This window comes from Homo sapiens, chromosome 3 (genome assembly GCF_000001405.40).
Source record: "Homo sapiens chromosome 3, GRCh38.p14 Primary Assembly".
Taxonomy (NCBI): domain Eukaryota; kingdom Metazoa; phylum Chordata; class Mammalia; order Primates; family Hominidae; genus Homo; species Homo sapiens.
In genome coordinates, this window is record NC_000003.12 from 130,158,564 (window position 1) to 130,175,534 (window position 16,971).

General features: G+C 44.7%; 1 long non-coding RNA gene and 1 pseudogene across 1 annotated transcript in view; both read right to left on the reverse strand.

Moving 5' to 3' along the window:
* Positions 1–7,928: 7,928 nt before the first annotated feature.
* Positions 7,929–16,971, reverse strand: part of LOC107986133 (uncharacterized) — a 38,839-nt gene continuing 29,796 nt past the window's right edge. Inside the window, exons 3-4 of the long non-coding RNA XR_001740907.2 lie at positions 9,245–9,380; positions 7,929–8,094 (exon numbers count right to left, since the gene is read on the reverse strand). This is a non-coding gene — a long non-coding RNA (uncharacterized LOC107986133). The remainder of the gene's footprint in view (positions 8,095–9,244; positions 9,381–16,971) is intronic.
* Positions 9,227–9,467, reverse strand: ENPP7P3 (ectonucleotide pyrophosphatase/phosphodiesterase 7 pseudogene 3; annotated as a pseudogene).

A 16,971-nucleotide genomic window follows, 5' to 3' on the forward strand; every position in this document is an offset into this window, starting at 1 on the left:
AATTAACTCTCCTCTTCTCTCCATCTTCTTCTAAATCCTCATTTTTGCCTAAGCAACAGCTAGGTTCTAATACGGATGTGATGACTCACTTCAAAGTGGGGGAAGCCCCCATGTGCACCCAAAGCTCCTGCTGCCTTGGCCCTGGCTTCAGATACTGGACCATCATTGTGGAGGCTTGCTGGAGATCTGAGCCAGGACACCATTCTCTGTTGCCTTTAAACAAAGGCTGGTGCTCGCCCAGGCATGTAAGCTCCACCGAGGATCTATTTGGAAGGCAGAATTCTGAGATGACCCCTTAGGTTCTTGCCCTGGATAAATGCCAGGTGTAATCTCCTCTCCCCTGGAGTGTAGGCAGGACCCGTGGCTTGCTTCTAATCTATACCTATGAAAAAGATGAAGGGATTTTGCAGATGTAACTAAGCCCCTAATCCATTCACTTTGAGTTAATCAAAAGGGAGATTATTCAGGGTGGGCCTGACATCTTCAGGTGAGATCTTCAATGAAGGTCTGGAGGAGACAGACTCCTTCCTCCTGGTTTTTGGTTTTTGTTTGTTTATTTGTTTTTGACATGGAGTCTCACTCTGTTGCCCAGGCTGGAGTGCAGTGGCACGATCTCAGCTTACTGCAACCTCTGCCTCCTGGGTTCAAGTGATTCTCCTGCCTCAGCCTCCAAAGTAGCTGGGATTACAGGTGTGCTCCATCATGCCCGGCTAAGTTATGTAGAGACGGGGTTTCACCATATTGGCCAGGCTGGTCTCGAACTCCTGACATCAGGTGATCCACCGGCCTCGGCCTCCGAAAGTGCTGGGATTACAGGCGTGAGCCACCATGCTTGGCTGGTTTTGAAGAAGCCAGCCACATGAGTTCCACAGTTGCTTGGAAATAAATTCTGCCAACAACCATGTGAGGTTGGGAGAAGACCGTAAGCCTCATATAAGACACTAATTACAGCCGACACCTTGATCACAACCTTGTAAGTACCTGAGCAGAGGACCCAGCTGAAGCTGCACCCCCAGACTCCTGACCCACAGGAAAGGAGAGGTAATAGATGGGTGTTTTAAGCTGCTAAATTTGTATTGATTTGTTATGCAGCTTAGAAAATGAATACATCATTCCATTTTTAAAAAATCATAAGCTAATCACACCATTCGATTTCGTTTTTTCTTTTTTTTTTTTGAGACAGAGTCTCACTCTGTCGCCCAGGCTGGAGTGCAATGGCGCAATCTTGGCTCACTGTAACCTCTGCCTCCAAGGTTCAAGTGATTCCCTTGCCTCAGCCCCCCAAGTAGCTGGGACTACAGGCAAGCACAACCACACCCAGCTAATTTTTATATTTTTAGTAGAGATGGAGTTTCACCATTTTGGCCAGGCTAGTCTCGAACTCCTGACCTCAAGTGACCTTCCTGCCTCAGCCTCCCAAAGTGCTGGGGTTACTGACATGAGCCACTGCACCCGGCCTGACACACCATTCAACTTTAAGGAACTTCCAGGTGCTGTGGTCACGCCCCCCTTGTGTGGCATGCAGGTGGGGAGAGATGGGTTGGAAGATGACTGGATGGGGGCATGGAGCTAGGTGGGAAGAGGAAAAGTGTCTTGAAGGAAGTAATTCCCTTCAGATAAGGGAGGGAGAAGCTTGATCAATATGCAGACTTTCACAGTCCTTCAGTCCTGGGGATATTGGTGGAGAGACAGGTCTTGCCTTACATTTGAGAGTTACCATCCCAGGCAGAGGCCCTACTTCCACCTTCTTGCCGGTGGGGCTGGCGAGCAAATACTTAGAGGAGAAACGAACACCCTTTGTAAGCATGTGAAAAGTTTCTGGAGTAGAGAGATGATGAAGCAGGATATTTGGAGTCAACAGCCAAAGTTTTTATTTTATTTTTTATTTTCTATTGTACTTTAAGTTTTAGGGTACATGTGCACAACGTGCAGGTTTGTTACATATGTATACATGTGCCATGTTAGTGTGCTGTACCCATTAACTCGTCATTTAACATTAGGTATATCTCTTAATGCTATCCCTCCCCCCTCCCCCGACCCCACAACAGGCCCCAGTGTGTGATGTTCCCCTTCCTGTGTCCATATGTTCTCATTGTTTAATTCCTACCTATGAGTGAGAACATGTGGTGTTTGGTTTTTTGTCCTTGCAATAGTTTGCTGAGAATGATGGTTTCCAGCTTCATCCATGTCCCTACAAAGGACGTAAACTCATCATTTTTTATGGCTGCATAGTATTCCATGGTGTATATGTGCCACATTTTCTTAATCCAGTCTATCGTTGTTGGACATTTGGCTTGGTTCCAAGTCTTTGCTATTGTGAATAGTGCCATTATAAACATACGTGTGCATGTGTCTTTATAGCAGCATGATTTATAATCCTTTGGGTATATACCCAGTAATGGGATGGCTGGGTCAAATGGTATTTCTAGTTCTAGATCCCTGAGGAATTGACACACTGAATTCCACAATGGTTGAACTAGTTTACAGTCCAACCAACAGTGTAAAAGTGTTCCTATTTCTCCACATCCTCTCCAGCACCTGTTGTTTCCTGACTTGTTAATGATCGCCATTCTAACTGGTGTGAGATGGTATCTCATTGTTGTTTTGACTTGCATTTCTCTGGCCAGGGATGATGAGCATTTTTTTCACGTGTCTTTTGGCTGCATAAATGTCTTCTTTTGAGAAGTGTCTGTTCATATCCTTTGCCCACTTTTTGATGGGATTGTTTGTTTTTTTCTTGTAAATTTATTGGAGCTCATTGTAGATTCTTGATATTAGCCCTTTGTCAGATGAGTAGATTGCAAAAATTTTCTCCCATTCTGTAGGTTGCCTGTCCACTCTGATGGTAGTTTCTTTTGCTGTGCAGAAGCTCTTTAGTTTAATTAGATCCCATTTGTCAGTTTTGGCTTTTGTTGCCATTGCTTTTGGTGTTTTAGACATGAAGTCCTTGCCCATGCCTATGTCCTGAATGGTATTGCTGAGGTTTTCTTCTAGGGTTTTTATGGTTTTAGGTCTAACATTTAAGTCTTTAATCCATCTCGAATTAATTTTTGTATAAGGCGTAAGGAAGGGATCCAGTTTCAGCTTTCTCCATATGGCTAGCCAGTTTTCCCAGCACCATTTATTAAATAGGGAATCCTTTCCCCATTTCTTGCTTTTGTCAGGTTTGTCAAAGATCAGATGGTTGTAGATCTGTGGCATTATTTCTGAGGGCTCTGTTCTGTTCCATTGGTTAATATCTCTGTTTTTGTACCAGTACCATGCTGTTTTGATTACTGTAGCCTTGTAGCATAGTTTGAAGTCAGGTAGTGTGATGCCTCTAGCTTTGTTCTTTTGGCTTAGGATTGACTTGGCAATGTGGGCTCTTTTTTGGTTCCATATGAACTTTAAAGTAGTTTTTTCCAATTCTGTGAAGAAAGTCATTGGTAACTTGATGGGGATTGCATTGAATCTATAAATTACCTTGGGCAGTATGGCCATTTTCACGATATTGATTCTACCTACCCATGAGCATGGAATGTTCTTCCATTTGTTTGTGTCCTCTCTTATTTCGTTGAGCAGTGGTTTATAGTTCTCCTTGAAGAGGTCCTTCACATGCCTTGTAAGTTGGATTCCTAGGTATTTTATTCTCTTTGAAGCAATTGTGAATGGGAGTTCACTCATGATTTGGCTCTCTGTTTGTCTGTATTGGTGTATAAGAATGCTTGTGATTTTTGCACATTGATTTTGTATCCTGAGACTTTGCTGAAGTTGCCTATCAGCTTAAGGAGATTTTGGGCTGAGACAATCGGGTTTTCTAGATATACAATCATATCATCTGCAAACAGGGACAATTTGACTTCCTCTTTTCTTAATTGAATACCCTTTATTTCCTTCTCCTGCCTGATTGCCCTGGCCAGAACTTGCAACACTATGTTGAATAGGAGTGATGAGAGGGGGCATCCCTGTCTTGTGCCAGTTTTCAAAGGGAATGCTTCCATTTTTTGCCCATTCAGTATGATATTGGCTGTGGGTTTGTCATAGATAGCTCTTATTATTTTGAGATACGTCCCATCAATACTTAATTTATTGAGAGTTTTTAGCATGAAGGTTGTTGAATTTTGTCACACGTCTTTTCTGCATCTAATGAGATAATCGTATGGTTTTTGTCATTGGTTCTGTTTATATGCTGGATTATGTTTACTGATTTGAATATGTTGAACCAATCTTGCATCCCAGGGAGGAAGCCCACTTGATCATGGTGGATAAGTTTTTGATGTGCTGCTGGATTCGGTTTGACAGTATTTTATAGAGGATTTTTGCATTGATGTTCATCAGGGATATTGGTCTAAAATTCTCTTTTTTGGTTGTGTCTCTGCCGGGCTTTGGTATCAAGATGATGCTGGCCTCATAAAATGAGTTAGGTAGGATTCCCTCTTTTTCTATTATTTGGAATAGTTTCAGAAGGAATGGTACCAGCTCCTCCTTGTACCTCTGGTAGAATTCGGCTGTGAATCCGTCTGGTCCTGGACTTTTTTGGTTGGTAAGCTATTAATTATTGCCTCAATTTCAGAGCCTGTTATTGGTCTATTCAGAGATTCAACTTCTTCCTGGTTTAGCCTTGGGAGGGTGTACGTGTCGAGGAATTTATCCATTTCTTCTAGATTTTCTAGTTTATTTGCATAGAGGTGTTTATACTATTCTCTGATGATAGTTTGTATTTTTCTGGGATTGGTGGTGATATCCCCTTTATCAATTTTTATTGTATCTATTTGATTCTTCTCTCTTTTCTTCTTTATTAGTCTTGCTAGTGGTCTATCAATTTTGTTGATCTTTTCAAAAAACCAGCTCCTGGATTCATGGATTTTTTGAAGGGTTTTTTGTGTCTCTATTTCCTTCAGTTCTGCTCTGATCTTAGTTATTTCTTGCCTTCTGCTAGCTTTTGAATGTGTTTGCTCTTTGCTTCTCTTGTTCTTTTAATTGTGATGTTATAGTGTCAATTTTAGATCTTTCCTGTTTTCTCTTGTGGGCATTTAGTGCTATCAATTTCCCTCTACACACTGCTTTGAATGTGTCCGAGAGATTCTGGTATGTTGTGTCTTTGTTCTCGTTGGTTTCAAAGAACACCTTTATCTCTGCCTTTCATTTCATTATGTACCCAGTAGTCATTCAGGAGCAGGTTGTTCAGTTTTCATGTAGTTGAGGAGTTTTGAGTGAGTTTCTTAATCCTGAGTTCTAGTTTGATTGCACTGTGGTCTGAGAGACAGTTTGTTTTAATTTCTGTTGTTTTACATTTGCTGAAGAGTGCTTCACTTCCAAATATGTGGTCAATTTTGGAATAAGTGTGGTGTGGTGCTGAGAAGAATGTATATTCTGTTGATTTGGGGTGGAGAGTTCTGTAGATGTCTATTAGGTCCGCTTGGTGCAGAGCTGAGTTCAATTCCTGAATATCCTTGTTAACTTTCTGTCTCGTTGATCTGTCTAATGTTGACGGTGGGGTGTTAAAGTCTCCCATTATTATTGTGTGGGAGTCTAAGTCTCTTTGTAGGTCTCTAAGGACTTGCTTTTTGAATCTGGGTGCTCCTGTATTGGGTGCATATATATTTAGGATAGTTAGCTCTTCTTGTTGAATTGATCCCTTTACCATTATGCAATGGCCTTCTTTGTCTCTTTTGATCTTTGTTGGTTTAAAGTCTGTTTTATCAGAGACTAGGATTGCAACACCAGCCTTTTTTTTGTTTTCCATTTGCTTGGTAGATCTTCCTCCATCCCTTTATTTTGAGCCTATGTGTGTCTCTGCACATGAGATGGGTTTCCTGAATACAGCACACTGATGGGTCTTGACTCTTTATCCAATTTGCCAGTCTGTCTTTTAATCGGAGAATTTAGCCCATTGACATTTAAGGTTCATATAGTTATGTGTGAATTTGATCCTGTCATGATGTTAGCTGGTTATTTTGCTCATTAGTTGATGCAGTTTCTTCCTAGCCTTGATGGTCTTTACAATTTGGCATGTTTTTGCAGTGGCTGGTACTGATTGTTGCTTTCAATGTTTAGTGCTTCCTTCAGGAGCTCTTGTAGGGCAGGACTGGTGGTGACAAAATCTCTCAGCATTTGCTTGTCTGTAAAGTATTTTATTTCTCCTTTACTTATGAAGCTTAGTTTGGCTGGATTTGAAATTCTGAGTTGAAAATTTTTTTCTTTAATAATGTTGAATATTGGCCCCCACTCTCTTCTGGCTTGTAGAGTTTCTGCTGAGAGATCAGCTGTTAGTCTGATGGGCTTCCCTTTGAGGGTGACCTGACCTTTCTTTCTGGCTGCCCTTAACATTTTTTCCTTCATTTTAACTTTGGTGAATCTGCCAATTATGTGTCTTGGAGTTGCTCTTCTTGAGGAATATCTTTGTGGTGTTCTCTGTATTTCCTGAATTTGAATGTTGGCCTGCCTTGCTAGATTGGGGAAGTTCTCCTGCATAATATCCCGCAGAGTGTTTTCCAACTTGGTTCCATTCTCCCTGTCACTTTCAGGTACACCAATCAGACGTAGATTTGGTCTTTTCACATAGTCCCATATTTCTTGGAGGCTTTGTTCATTTCTTTTTATTCTTTTTTCTCTAAACTTCTCTTCTTGCTTCATTTCATTCATTTCATCTTCCATCACTGATACCCTTTCTTCCAGTTGATCGAATCGGCTACTGAGGCTTGTGCATTTGTCACGTAGTTCTTGTGCCTTGGTTTTCAGCTCCATTAGGTCCTTTAAGGACTTCTCTGCATTGGTTATTCTAGTTAGCCATTCATCTAATTTTTTCCCCAAGGTTTTTAACTTCTTTGCCATGGGTTCGAAATTCCTCCGTTAGCTTGGAGTAATTTAATCGTCTGAAGTCTTCTTCTCTCAACTCATCAAAGTCATTCTCTGTCCAGCTTTGTTCCATTGCTGGTGAGGAGCTGCATTCCTTTGGAGGAGGAGAGACACTCTGATTTTTAGAGTTTCCAGTTTTTCTGCTCTGTTTTTTCCCCATCTTTGTGGTTTTATCTACCTTTGGTCTTTGATGATGGTGACGTACAGATGGGGTTTTAGTGTGGATGTCTTTTCTGTTTGTTAGTTTTCCTTCTAAGAGTCAGGACCCTCAGCTGCAGGTGTGTTGGAGTTTGCCTAGGTGTCAGCAGTGGAGGCTGCAGAACAGCGGATATTGGTGAGCAGCAAATGTTGCTGCCTGATTGTTCATCTGGAAGTTTTGTCTCAGAGGAGTACCCGGCCATGTGAGGTGTCAGTCTGCCCCTATGGTGGGGTGCCTCCTGTTAGGCAACTCGGGGGTCAGGGACCCACTTGAGGAGGCAGTCTGTCCATTCTCAGATCTCCAGCTGCATTCTGGGAGAACCACTACTCTCTTCAAAGCTGTCAGACAGGGATATTTAAGTCTGCAGAGGATTCTGCTGCCTTTTGTTTACCAATGCCCTGCCCCCAGAGATGGAGCCTACAGAGGCAGGCAGGCCTCCTTGAGCTGTGGTGGGCTCCACCCAGTTGGAGCTTCCCAGCTGCTTTGTTTACCTACTGAAGCCTAGGCAATGGCGGGTGCCCCTCCCCCAGCCTTGCTGCCACCTTGCAGTTTGATCTCAGACTGCTGTGCTAGCAATGAGTGAGGCTCCATGGGTTTAGGACCCTCTGAGCCAGTCGCGGGATACAATCTCCTGGTGTGCTGTTTGCTAAGACTGTTGGAAAAGTGCAGTATTAGGGTGGGAGTGACCCAATTTTCCAGGTGCCATCTGTCACCCATTTCTTTGACTAGGGAAGGGAATTCTCTGACCCCTTGCACTTCCTGGGTGAGGCAATGCCTCGCCCTGCTTGGGCTCATGCTCGGTGCGCTGCACCAAGTGTCCTGCACCCACTTTCTGACACTCCCCAGTGAGATAAACCCAGTACCTCAGTTGGAAATGCAGAAATCACCTGTCTTCTGCGTCGCTCACGCCAGGAGTTGTAGACTGGAGCTGTTCCTGTTTGGCCATCTTGGCTCCACCCCCGCTATTATGATTCTTACACAGAGTCCTTTGCTTTCCAGCAGCCTCCTCTTTCTCCTTTTTGGGTTGGAATCCCTCTATTTTAGTGGCCACTGGGATTCTGAAATGACAAGTCTTTGTCTCAGAGACCTCACACATGCTCTTCCCTCTGCCTGGAACAGTTTTCCTTGCTCTGGTCCCCTGAGATCTCTTTCAGCTCAACTGCCCCATGCTCAGAGACCCCCTTTCTCCCTCTCTAGTTTGAAGCCAGTTTACCGCTGTAGTCTGTGCCTGGAATACTCGTTTTCCTCCTTGATGCCTGCTTAGTTGTCACGGGATGTATGTGCCTGTTTGGGTGTCTGGTGTCTGTCTCCCCGACTGGACTGCATGCTCCTGGTGAGCTGGAGGGACTGGACTAGCACAGGTCAAGGCCCTGGGGCTGGAGGGAGCAGGGCAGAAGGCACAGGCAAAAGGCCTTTGTGATCCGGAAGGAAGTGAAGGAGAGGGAGAGAGATGAGAGAGTCTGGCAGAAGATGGGCCAGGGGCCAGGCTGTGTGGGATCTTTTGGGCCACAGAAAGACATTTCAATTCTTATGTAAGAGAACCAGGACACCATTGGAGGGTATGAGTCACCTCATCTAACTGAGTGCAATGGCATGATCTCGGCTCACTTCAACTTCCACCTCCTGGGTTCAAGTGATTCTCCTGTATCAGACTCCCGAGCAGCTGTCGTTATAGGCATCTGCCACCACGCCCAGCTTATTTTTGTATGTTTAGGATAGACGATGTTTCACCATGTTGGCCAAGCTGGTCTTGAACTCCTGACCTCAGGTGATCCACCTGCCTCAGCCACCCAAAGTGCTGGGATTACAGGGGTGAGTCACCATGCTCGGCCTTATTTACTTTTTTAAAAAAGATCAGGCCAGTCACGGTAGCTCATGTCTCCAATCTCAGCACTTTGGGAGGCTGAGGTGGGATGCTCACTTGAGGCCAGGAGTTCAAAACCAGCCCAGGCAACATAGTGAGACACCCCCTGCCCCAATTTCTAAGAAAATGAGAAAATTAGGCATGGTAGGACTGCTTGAGACCAGGAGTTTGAGGCTCCACTGAGCTGTGATTATACCATTGAGCTATAGCCTGGGCAACAGAGTGAGACCCCGGAGCCGCCTCAGCCTCCCTAGAGCTGACCGAGCTTTTGCTTCTTATCACAGGGAATGACGGACGCTGGGGCTTTGATGGGCATCAGGTGAAATGGGCAGAGTGACGCTTACCTGGGATGGCAGTGAAGTGGGAAGGGGAGGTCATTGTGACAAGGGGCGGCATGAGGTACTTGGCCTTGACGCCCTCCCCGGCCAGACGGTCCAGGTTGGGGGTGTCCACATCCTGATCCTAGTCCCAGCGGAAGCCCTGGAAGGAGATCAGCAGCAGTTGTGAGTGCTCTTCTTCTCTGGGAGGAGGTGGCCGCCCAGCAGGACAGGCAGCGGCAGCAGCAGCTGGAGGGTGCCGAGCCATGTCATCCCACGAGCACCTGTCATGCACTCCTCACACAGTTCATGGGCTTCTCCCTCTTTAGTCCATTGTTGAACAAAGTCCACATTAATAATTCAGCCCAGCTCTGTTGTGGGACAAACAAACAAACTGGAGTGTAGCAAGGTGCTGCATATTTGCAGGACAGGATGAAAGCGTTCTGGAGATGGATGGGGGACATGGCTGTACAATGTGGTGGATGCACTTAACATCACTGAATTTTTCCTTTGAAAATGGCTAAAATAATAGATTTTGTGTGTATTTTACCACAATAAAAAATCAAACTGGCCGGGCATGGTGGCTTACACCTGTAATCCTGGCACTTTGGGAGGCCAAGGTGTGTATATCATTTGAGGTCAGGAGTTCAAGACCAGCCTGGCTAACATGGAGAAACCACATCTCTACTAAAAATGCAAAAATTAGCCAGGCGTGGCAGTACATGTCTGTAATCCCAGCTACTCGGGAGGCTGAGGCAGGAGAATTGCTTGAATCCGGGAGGCAGAGGTTGCAGTGAGCCGAGATTGCGCCACTGCATTCCAACCTGGACGATGGAACGAGACTTCATCTCCAAAAAAAAAAAAAAAAAAAAATCAAACCACATGAAATATTTTGGACTCTTATACTAATTCCAACATTTTGAAGATCTGAGGAGAACAAACTGGATTGGTGCTTTCCTTGGCTTAGTATGTTCTGTTTTTATAGGGAGAGCAAATTATTGTTCACCAGCACTATTAAAATAGCTACAACAGGATGGGCATGGTGGCTCACACCTGTAATCCCAGCACTTTGGGAAGCTGAGGTGGGAGGATCGCTTGAGTCCAGGAGTTCAAGATGCCAGCCTGGGCAACATGGTGAGACCCTGCCACTACCAAAAAATACAACAACAACAACAAAAATAGCTAGGTGTGGTTGTGTGCATCTGTAGTCCCAGCTACTTGAGAGGCTGAGGTGAGAGGATCACTTGTGCCCAGGAGGTTGAGGCTGCAGTAAGCCATGATTATGCCACTGTACTCAGCCTGGGTGACAGAGTGAGACCCTGTATGGAAAAAAAAATAAAAAGCTGCAGTGGACTCAGTGATCATGAGACCAGGCACTGTATACGTGTACATCATCTCATTTAATTTTTTCTCTTGTTTAAAATTATTTTTTCCTCTAATCCTCATGTTGATTGACATTTTTTTTAATCCTAGGAATTAGTTGAAAATTTTGCATAAGAATTAAAAATTGCCTGGCCTGATGGCTTACACCTGTTATCCCAGCACTTTGGGAGGCTGAGATGAGAGAATCAGTTGAAGCCAGGAGTTTGGGCCAGTCTGGGCAATATTGCGAGAATGCAACTCTATGAAAAAATTTAAAAAGCTGGGTGTGGTAGGGTTCACATGTAGTCCCAGCTACTTGGAAGACTAGGTATGAGGATTGCTTGAGCCCAGGCGGTAAAGGCAGCAGTGAGCTATGATTGTGCCATTGCACTGCAGCCTGGGTGACGGAGTGAGACTCTATCTCTCAAATAAATGGATAAAATTGTGGTATAATATATGCAACATTTACCATTCTGTGTATCTGAAAGTGTACAATTCAGTGACATTTTGTACATTTATCATGTTGTGCAATTATCACCACTACCTAGTTTCAGGGCTTTTTCAACACCTCAATTGGAAGCCTCATATCCATTCAGCAGTCACTCTGCATATCCCCTCCTGTAGCCCCTGGAAACCTCTCATCTACTTTCTATCTCTGTCGATTGGCTTAGTCTGAACATTGCATATAAATGGAATTGTACAATATATGACCTTTCATGTCTGCTTCTTTCACTGAGCATGTTTTTAACGTTCATCCATATCACAACATGGATAAGTTTTATTTTCTTTTTAGACCCTATCTAAAAAGAAAAAAAATTGTAAAACAAAAACAAAAACAAAAAAATATATAGGATGGAGATCAGATGAGTCCTGCAAAGTTTATAATATTTACTGTCTAGCACTTTACATAGAAGCTTGCCTACCTCTGAATGATATGCAGGTACAGAGATGACATTTATCTTGGCACTTATAGAAAGACCTATAAATTGTATAAAGACATCATCATTGGATTTCCAGTAACAAGAAGCGGCAAGACATGACGATGTGTCCAGGTGTTCAGGTGAAGTTTAGGGAAGGTCTTGTCTTGACGAGGTCGGATGTGAGACCCAGATGAGATAACCCCATTTCCCATGCTGAAATTGCCTGAGAATTTCATTCCAGTTATTTGCGTAGGTTGATTCTTTCGGTGGGGGTGGGGTGGGTGAGGAGGTGAAGTGTCAGGGGAGTTCTATTTTGTATTTGCACAACTTGGCTTTCTTTTTACTTGGTGTGGTGTTTTGCTGTATGAGGAATTTCATAGAATTTTATAATGAGTATGCAGCATAGTGGTTTGAATCCTGCCAGGCCGAGGGTCATATCTCAGCTCTGAAACTCATTATCTATGACGCCTTGGGGCAGGTCCCATAACTCTCCAAGCCTCTGTTCTATATTCCATGGGGTTGTGAGGTTCAGATGAAATAATGCATGCTGGCAGGAATGGTTACTGCTCATGGGATTTCCAGGTGTTCCCCGTATTCCCCAGACACCCTGTAGTTAGATGGATCCATGCCAGGGTCCAATGCTCTATAAGTGGAAGTCACTGACATCACCTCTAGTCTACAGCTTTTGAGGGCTTGGGAATAACTATCTCATTCTCTCATCTCCTGGTGCAGTAACTATGGGAGAATCCTTGCATTAAGATGGTAGAATTTCCATCATTCTAGGACTTTGAGTGGCCATATGGAGCACATCATACCCAGCCAACCCATTGTGGACATGGAATGTAAGAAATCAACCTTGGTTGCTAAGCTGCTGAGACTCTGGCGTTAATTTGTTACCGCAGCATAACCTAGTCCATCCTGATGCATGCAGCATGCAAACCACTTATGTTGACCCTTAGCCATGGTAAGTGCTCCACAGATGTTGGTTACTTTTGGTAGGAAGATAGATTGCCTCTGAAAGTTTTGTTAGCTGATCTCATGATGCCAATGTTGCTATTTTGTAATTGGATAAATTGGACTTGGCTCTCCTTCCGGCATGTGGGAGAGAAAGATGACTGAGAGACAATAAGGCACTATTATCTTCAGTTTGTGTCCTTGGATACCCTTGGTGGCAATGAACAATGCATGCCCCTCTGAGAAAACTGGACCTAAAGGAGAATGGGAGATGATACCAGAATTGGGAAAGTCCAAGGCCCCAGGCATTCCCTGGTCTGGAGACAACTTTGAGTCCTTGGTGGGAAGATTCTCCAAGGGAACATAAATGCTTCTACTATCTAGTTTGTCTCTTTGAGAATTAAAACTTTTTTTTTCATTCCAGTAGCTTTTGGGGTACAGTTCGGCTCTTTGAGAATTGCATACTAATTAATTTTAGGGGTCATCTGTACACATCTCTATATTCCTGAAACATGGTAGAAACAGCCAGCAGTCAGGCAACAATCTATCATGACCACTAAAATATCCCCAAAGTGAAACACCAGATGTGATCCACTGGGTTTAGTGGAGGTGGCTGGCTTGACAGTTGATTATATTTATTATTGTCACTGTGGTGATTATGGCCACAACATTGTGATGCGTGTTGGTCTTCTTTTGGTGAGTTGCAGTTTGGAAGGAATAAATCCATTTTTTTTTTTTTTTGAGTCTTGCTCTGTCACCCAGGCTGGAGTGCAGTGGTGCCATCTCAGCATGCTGTAAACTCTGCCTCCCAGGTGCAAGTGCTTCCCCTGCCTCTATGGCCAGGCTGGTCTTGAACTCCTGACCTCAGGTGATCCACCTGCCTCAGCCTCCCAAAGTGCTGGGATTACAGGCGTGAGCCACCATGCCCGGCCCCATTATTCATTTAACCAATATCTATTGAGCGCATTGGGTGTGGTGGAGGATGAACTGCAGGGGAGAGAGGAAGCCTCCTCCTGCCACTATGTTTTCAAGTTGTCCTAATACTCCACCATGACACTCAGGCTTATGGGTCCCAGAGCTCCAGAAGCATCTCCTGACCACAACATCCTGACCCAGATTCTACTGAAAAATACATGAGTCTAGCAGAGCCATCTCTGACACTTCCCTTCTTTTGAATGGCTGATCTGTCAGCCATGGGGAGCCCTTATGAAAGTGCAGTGTGTTTTGTGAAACTTGAGGTTGATCAAAGAATACCATTAAACTTTGTTAAGAAATCTACATATTGATGACATAGGCAGTGGGGTGGAGGTGGGGAAATTCCCAAATACATTTTAGGAATTATCTCAGGAGGTAAGAGTCAGAACTCTTGGTTGCCAGTGACAGAAACTCATCTTACTAGTGTGGAGTGGAAAAGGGATCATGTTTTTCTCTGCACTCCCCAACCCCAACCCCAAGCAGATCCTGAAAGAGGGACAGGATTGCAAGTGGATTATTTAGGAGATGATTCCAGGGAACACCAATAGGGGAGTGAGGAATTGATTCATGGAAAGGCAGGAGGCCACACAGGGGGCTTCAATGAGCAGCTTACCACTCCAGGCAACTAGGATTTGACCCCACTGGGGACCTCTGGGAGGTGATGTGGAATACATTTCAAAGTTGTTCCATCCAGGGGGCAAAGATATTGAAGCATTTATAGCCTGGCTCCCATCCATCACTTGCTGAGGACTGGTCCCAGGGCATCAACTCTCTGGCTTTGCTTTTTTCTTTTCTTTTTTTTTTTTTTTTGAGACATAGTCTTGCTCTGTCACCCAGGCTGGACTGCAATGGCATGATCTCAGCTCACTGCAACATCTGCCTCCCAGGTTCAAACGATTCTCTTGCTTCGGATTCCTGAGTAGCTGGGATTACAGGTGCCTGCCACCATGCCCCGCTAATTTTTTAATTTTTTGTAGAGACGGGGTTTTGCCATGTTGGTCAGGATGGTCTCGAACTCCTGACTTCGTGATCCACCTGCCTCGGCCTCCCAGTGTTGGGATTACAGGAGTGAGCCACTGCGCCTGGCTTCTGTGGCTTTTCTGACATACTCCATGCCTGACTTTGAGAAAGCCCTCAGGTGAAAGTCTTGGTTGTATGCAGTAGCAAGCATGTACTAGAATGATAAAAACCAAGGGGCTTACCACAAGATCTCTCTCTCTATCTCTGTCTCTAGCTTTGTCTGCATACTGGCTTAATTTCTTCTTACTCAAGCCTTTTCTCCATAAGGCGAGAAACGTGGCCACAAAAGCTCCTGTATTTCTCACTACACACAATTCCTGTCATCACAGAGAATGATTAACTTGGTCTAGTTCCAGTTTGGAAAAATATTCAAGGGAAGAATTCTGATTGGCCAATTTAGGCCAGATGCTCATCCCTGGACCAATCAACTGAGGCCAGAGGGGTGGAGTCATTTGAGAACATGGCAGCCCCCATGAGAGCCACATGAGTGGAGTAGGAAGTGTGAGTCTCTATAGAGGGGAGGGCTGCTAGGCTGAAAAGGCAATAGATGTCTGCAGTGAAAAGAATAGATCAGGAGATACATTCTGTTAAACCTGTTAATTATTTGAAAAAAAGAGAAACTTTCAATATACAGTCACAGTATACGTGAGCCGGCGGCTCACGCCTATAATCCCAGAACTTTGGGAGGCTGAGGTGGGCAGAGCAGAGATCAGGAGTTCGAGACCAACCTGACCAACATGGTGAAACCCCGTCTTGTGCGCCTGTAATCCCAGCTACTCAGGAGGTGGAGGCAGGAGAATCACTTGAACCAGGGAGGCGGAGGTTGCAGTGAGCTGAGATCATGCCCCTGCCCTCCAGCCTGGGCAACAGAGTGAGACTCCTTCTCAAAAAAAAAAAAAAGTTACATTGTGGTTCCCCCAGCATGATTTATCAGAAAGGAAAAATTTACAATATGCGTATTTCCTATGCACAGGCTACTGCTATGAATTGAAATTCTTAAATTCCAAAGATTAATTAAAATGTTTCTTAAGACACATAAACTGTTAGAATCTGCTTATAATGAGGCTGAAGTTGAGTAAGAAGAGAACTGGCATTTAGGACACTACTTTTCTTCTGTCGAGTACTTTCAAGTTTTGGTTCTGCCTGGAAGTAGATGCACCTCAAGGGAGGGTTGCATGTAAAGTGTGTGTGTGTGTGTGGTAGTTTCCAAAGATGGGTACAACTTTCTGCAAATGCTCGTGCAGTGTAATTGAACCAATCTTTCCTTTAAGAGGTAGAGTTTATACTCCTCTACATGAATCTGGGCTGCCTATGACTTGCTTTGGCCAGTGGAATGCTGCCAAAGTGATGGTGACCAACTTCTAGCCGTGAAAGGAAAATAAAGCTTGGGGCCCCAAGATCACTAAGCTAGGCTGGGCTCGGTGGCTCACGCCTGTAATCCCAGCACTTTGGGAAGCTGAGGCGGGCAGATCACCTGAGGTTAGGAGTTCAAGACCAGCCTGGCCAACATGACAAAACCCCGTCTCTACTAAAAAATATGAAAATTAGCCAGGCGTGGTGGCAGGTGCCTGTAATCCCAGCTACTTGGGAGGCTGAGGCAGGGAAATTGCTTGAACCCTGGAGTTGGAGGTTGCAGTGAGTCGAGATCGTACCACTGCACTCCAGCCTGGGCAACAGAGCGAGACTCTGTCCCTCCACCCAAAAAAAAGTTACTAAGCTAAAGAGAAAAGTCAAGCTGGGAACTGCTTAGGGGAAACCTGCCTCCCATTCTATTCAGTCACCCCTTTGTTCACTGAGATAAATATATATCTGATTGCCTCATTTGGAGAGGCTAATCAGGAACTCAAAAGAATGCAACTATTTGTCTCTTAACTACCTATGACCTGGAAGCCCCTTCCCCTTGTCTCACCTTCACCTTCACCTGGAGTTGTCCCGCCTTTCCAGACTGAACCAATGTACATCTTACACATATTGATTGATGTCTCATGTCTCTCTAAAATGTGTCAAACCAAGCTGTGTCCCTACCACCTTAAGCACATGTTGTCAGGACCTCCTGAGGCTGTGTCACAGGCATGCGTCCTCAACCTTGGCAAAACAAACTTTCTGAATTAACTGAGACCTCAGATTTTTGGGGTGCAAATAGTCTTAGGCCTTGAGAGCCCTCTCGTAGTTTCCATATTTTTGCCCTCTTGGATGCTGGCACCAAGCAAACCTTGGCTATCCTGCTTAAAGGGCCATTTGGAGAGGGGCTCTGGAGGGCGAGGGGCCACATGGAGGAAAACAAGTTTCCCCGGCTGACAACCAGCACCAACTGCCAGGCACGTGCATGAGGCCATCCTGGATGTTCCGCCCAGCTGGCCCTCCAGCTGCAGGTAGCCACACAAATGAGCCCAGGTTAAACCAGCCAGGAAGTCCCCATACAACTCACAGGTTCATGAGCAATAATGGCTTGTTGTGGTTTAAAGTTTCTAATTTTAGGTGCAATAGGTAACTGAAACAGCCCACAAGGGTGTGAGCCTGTGG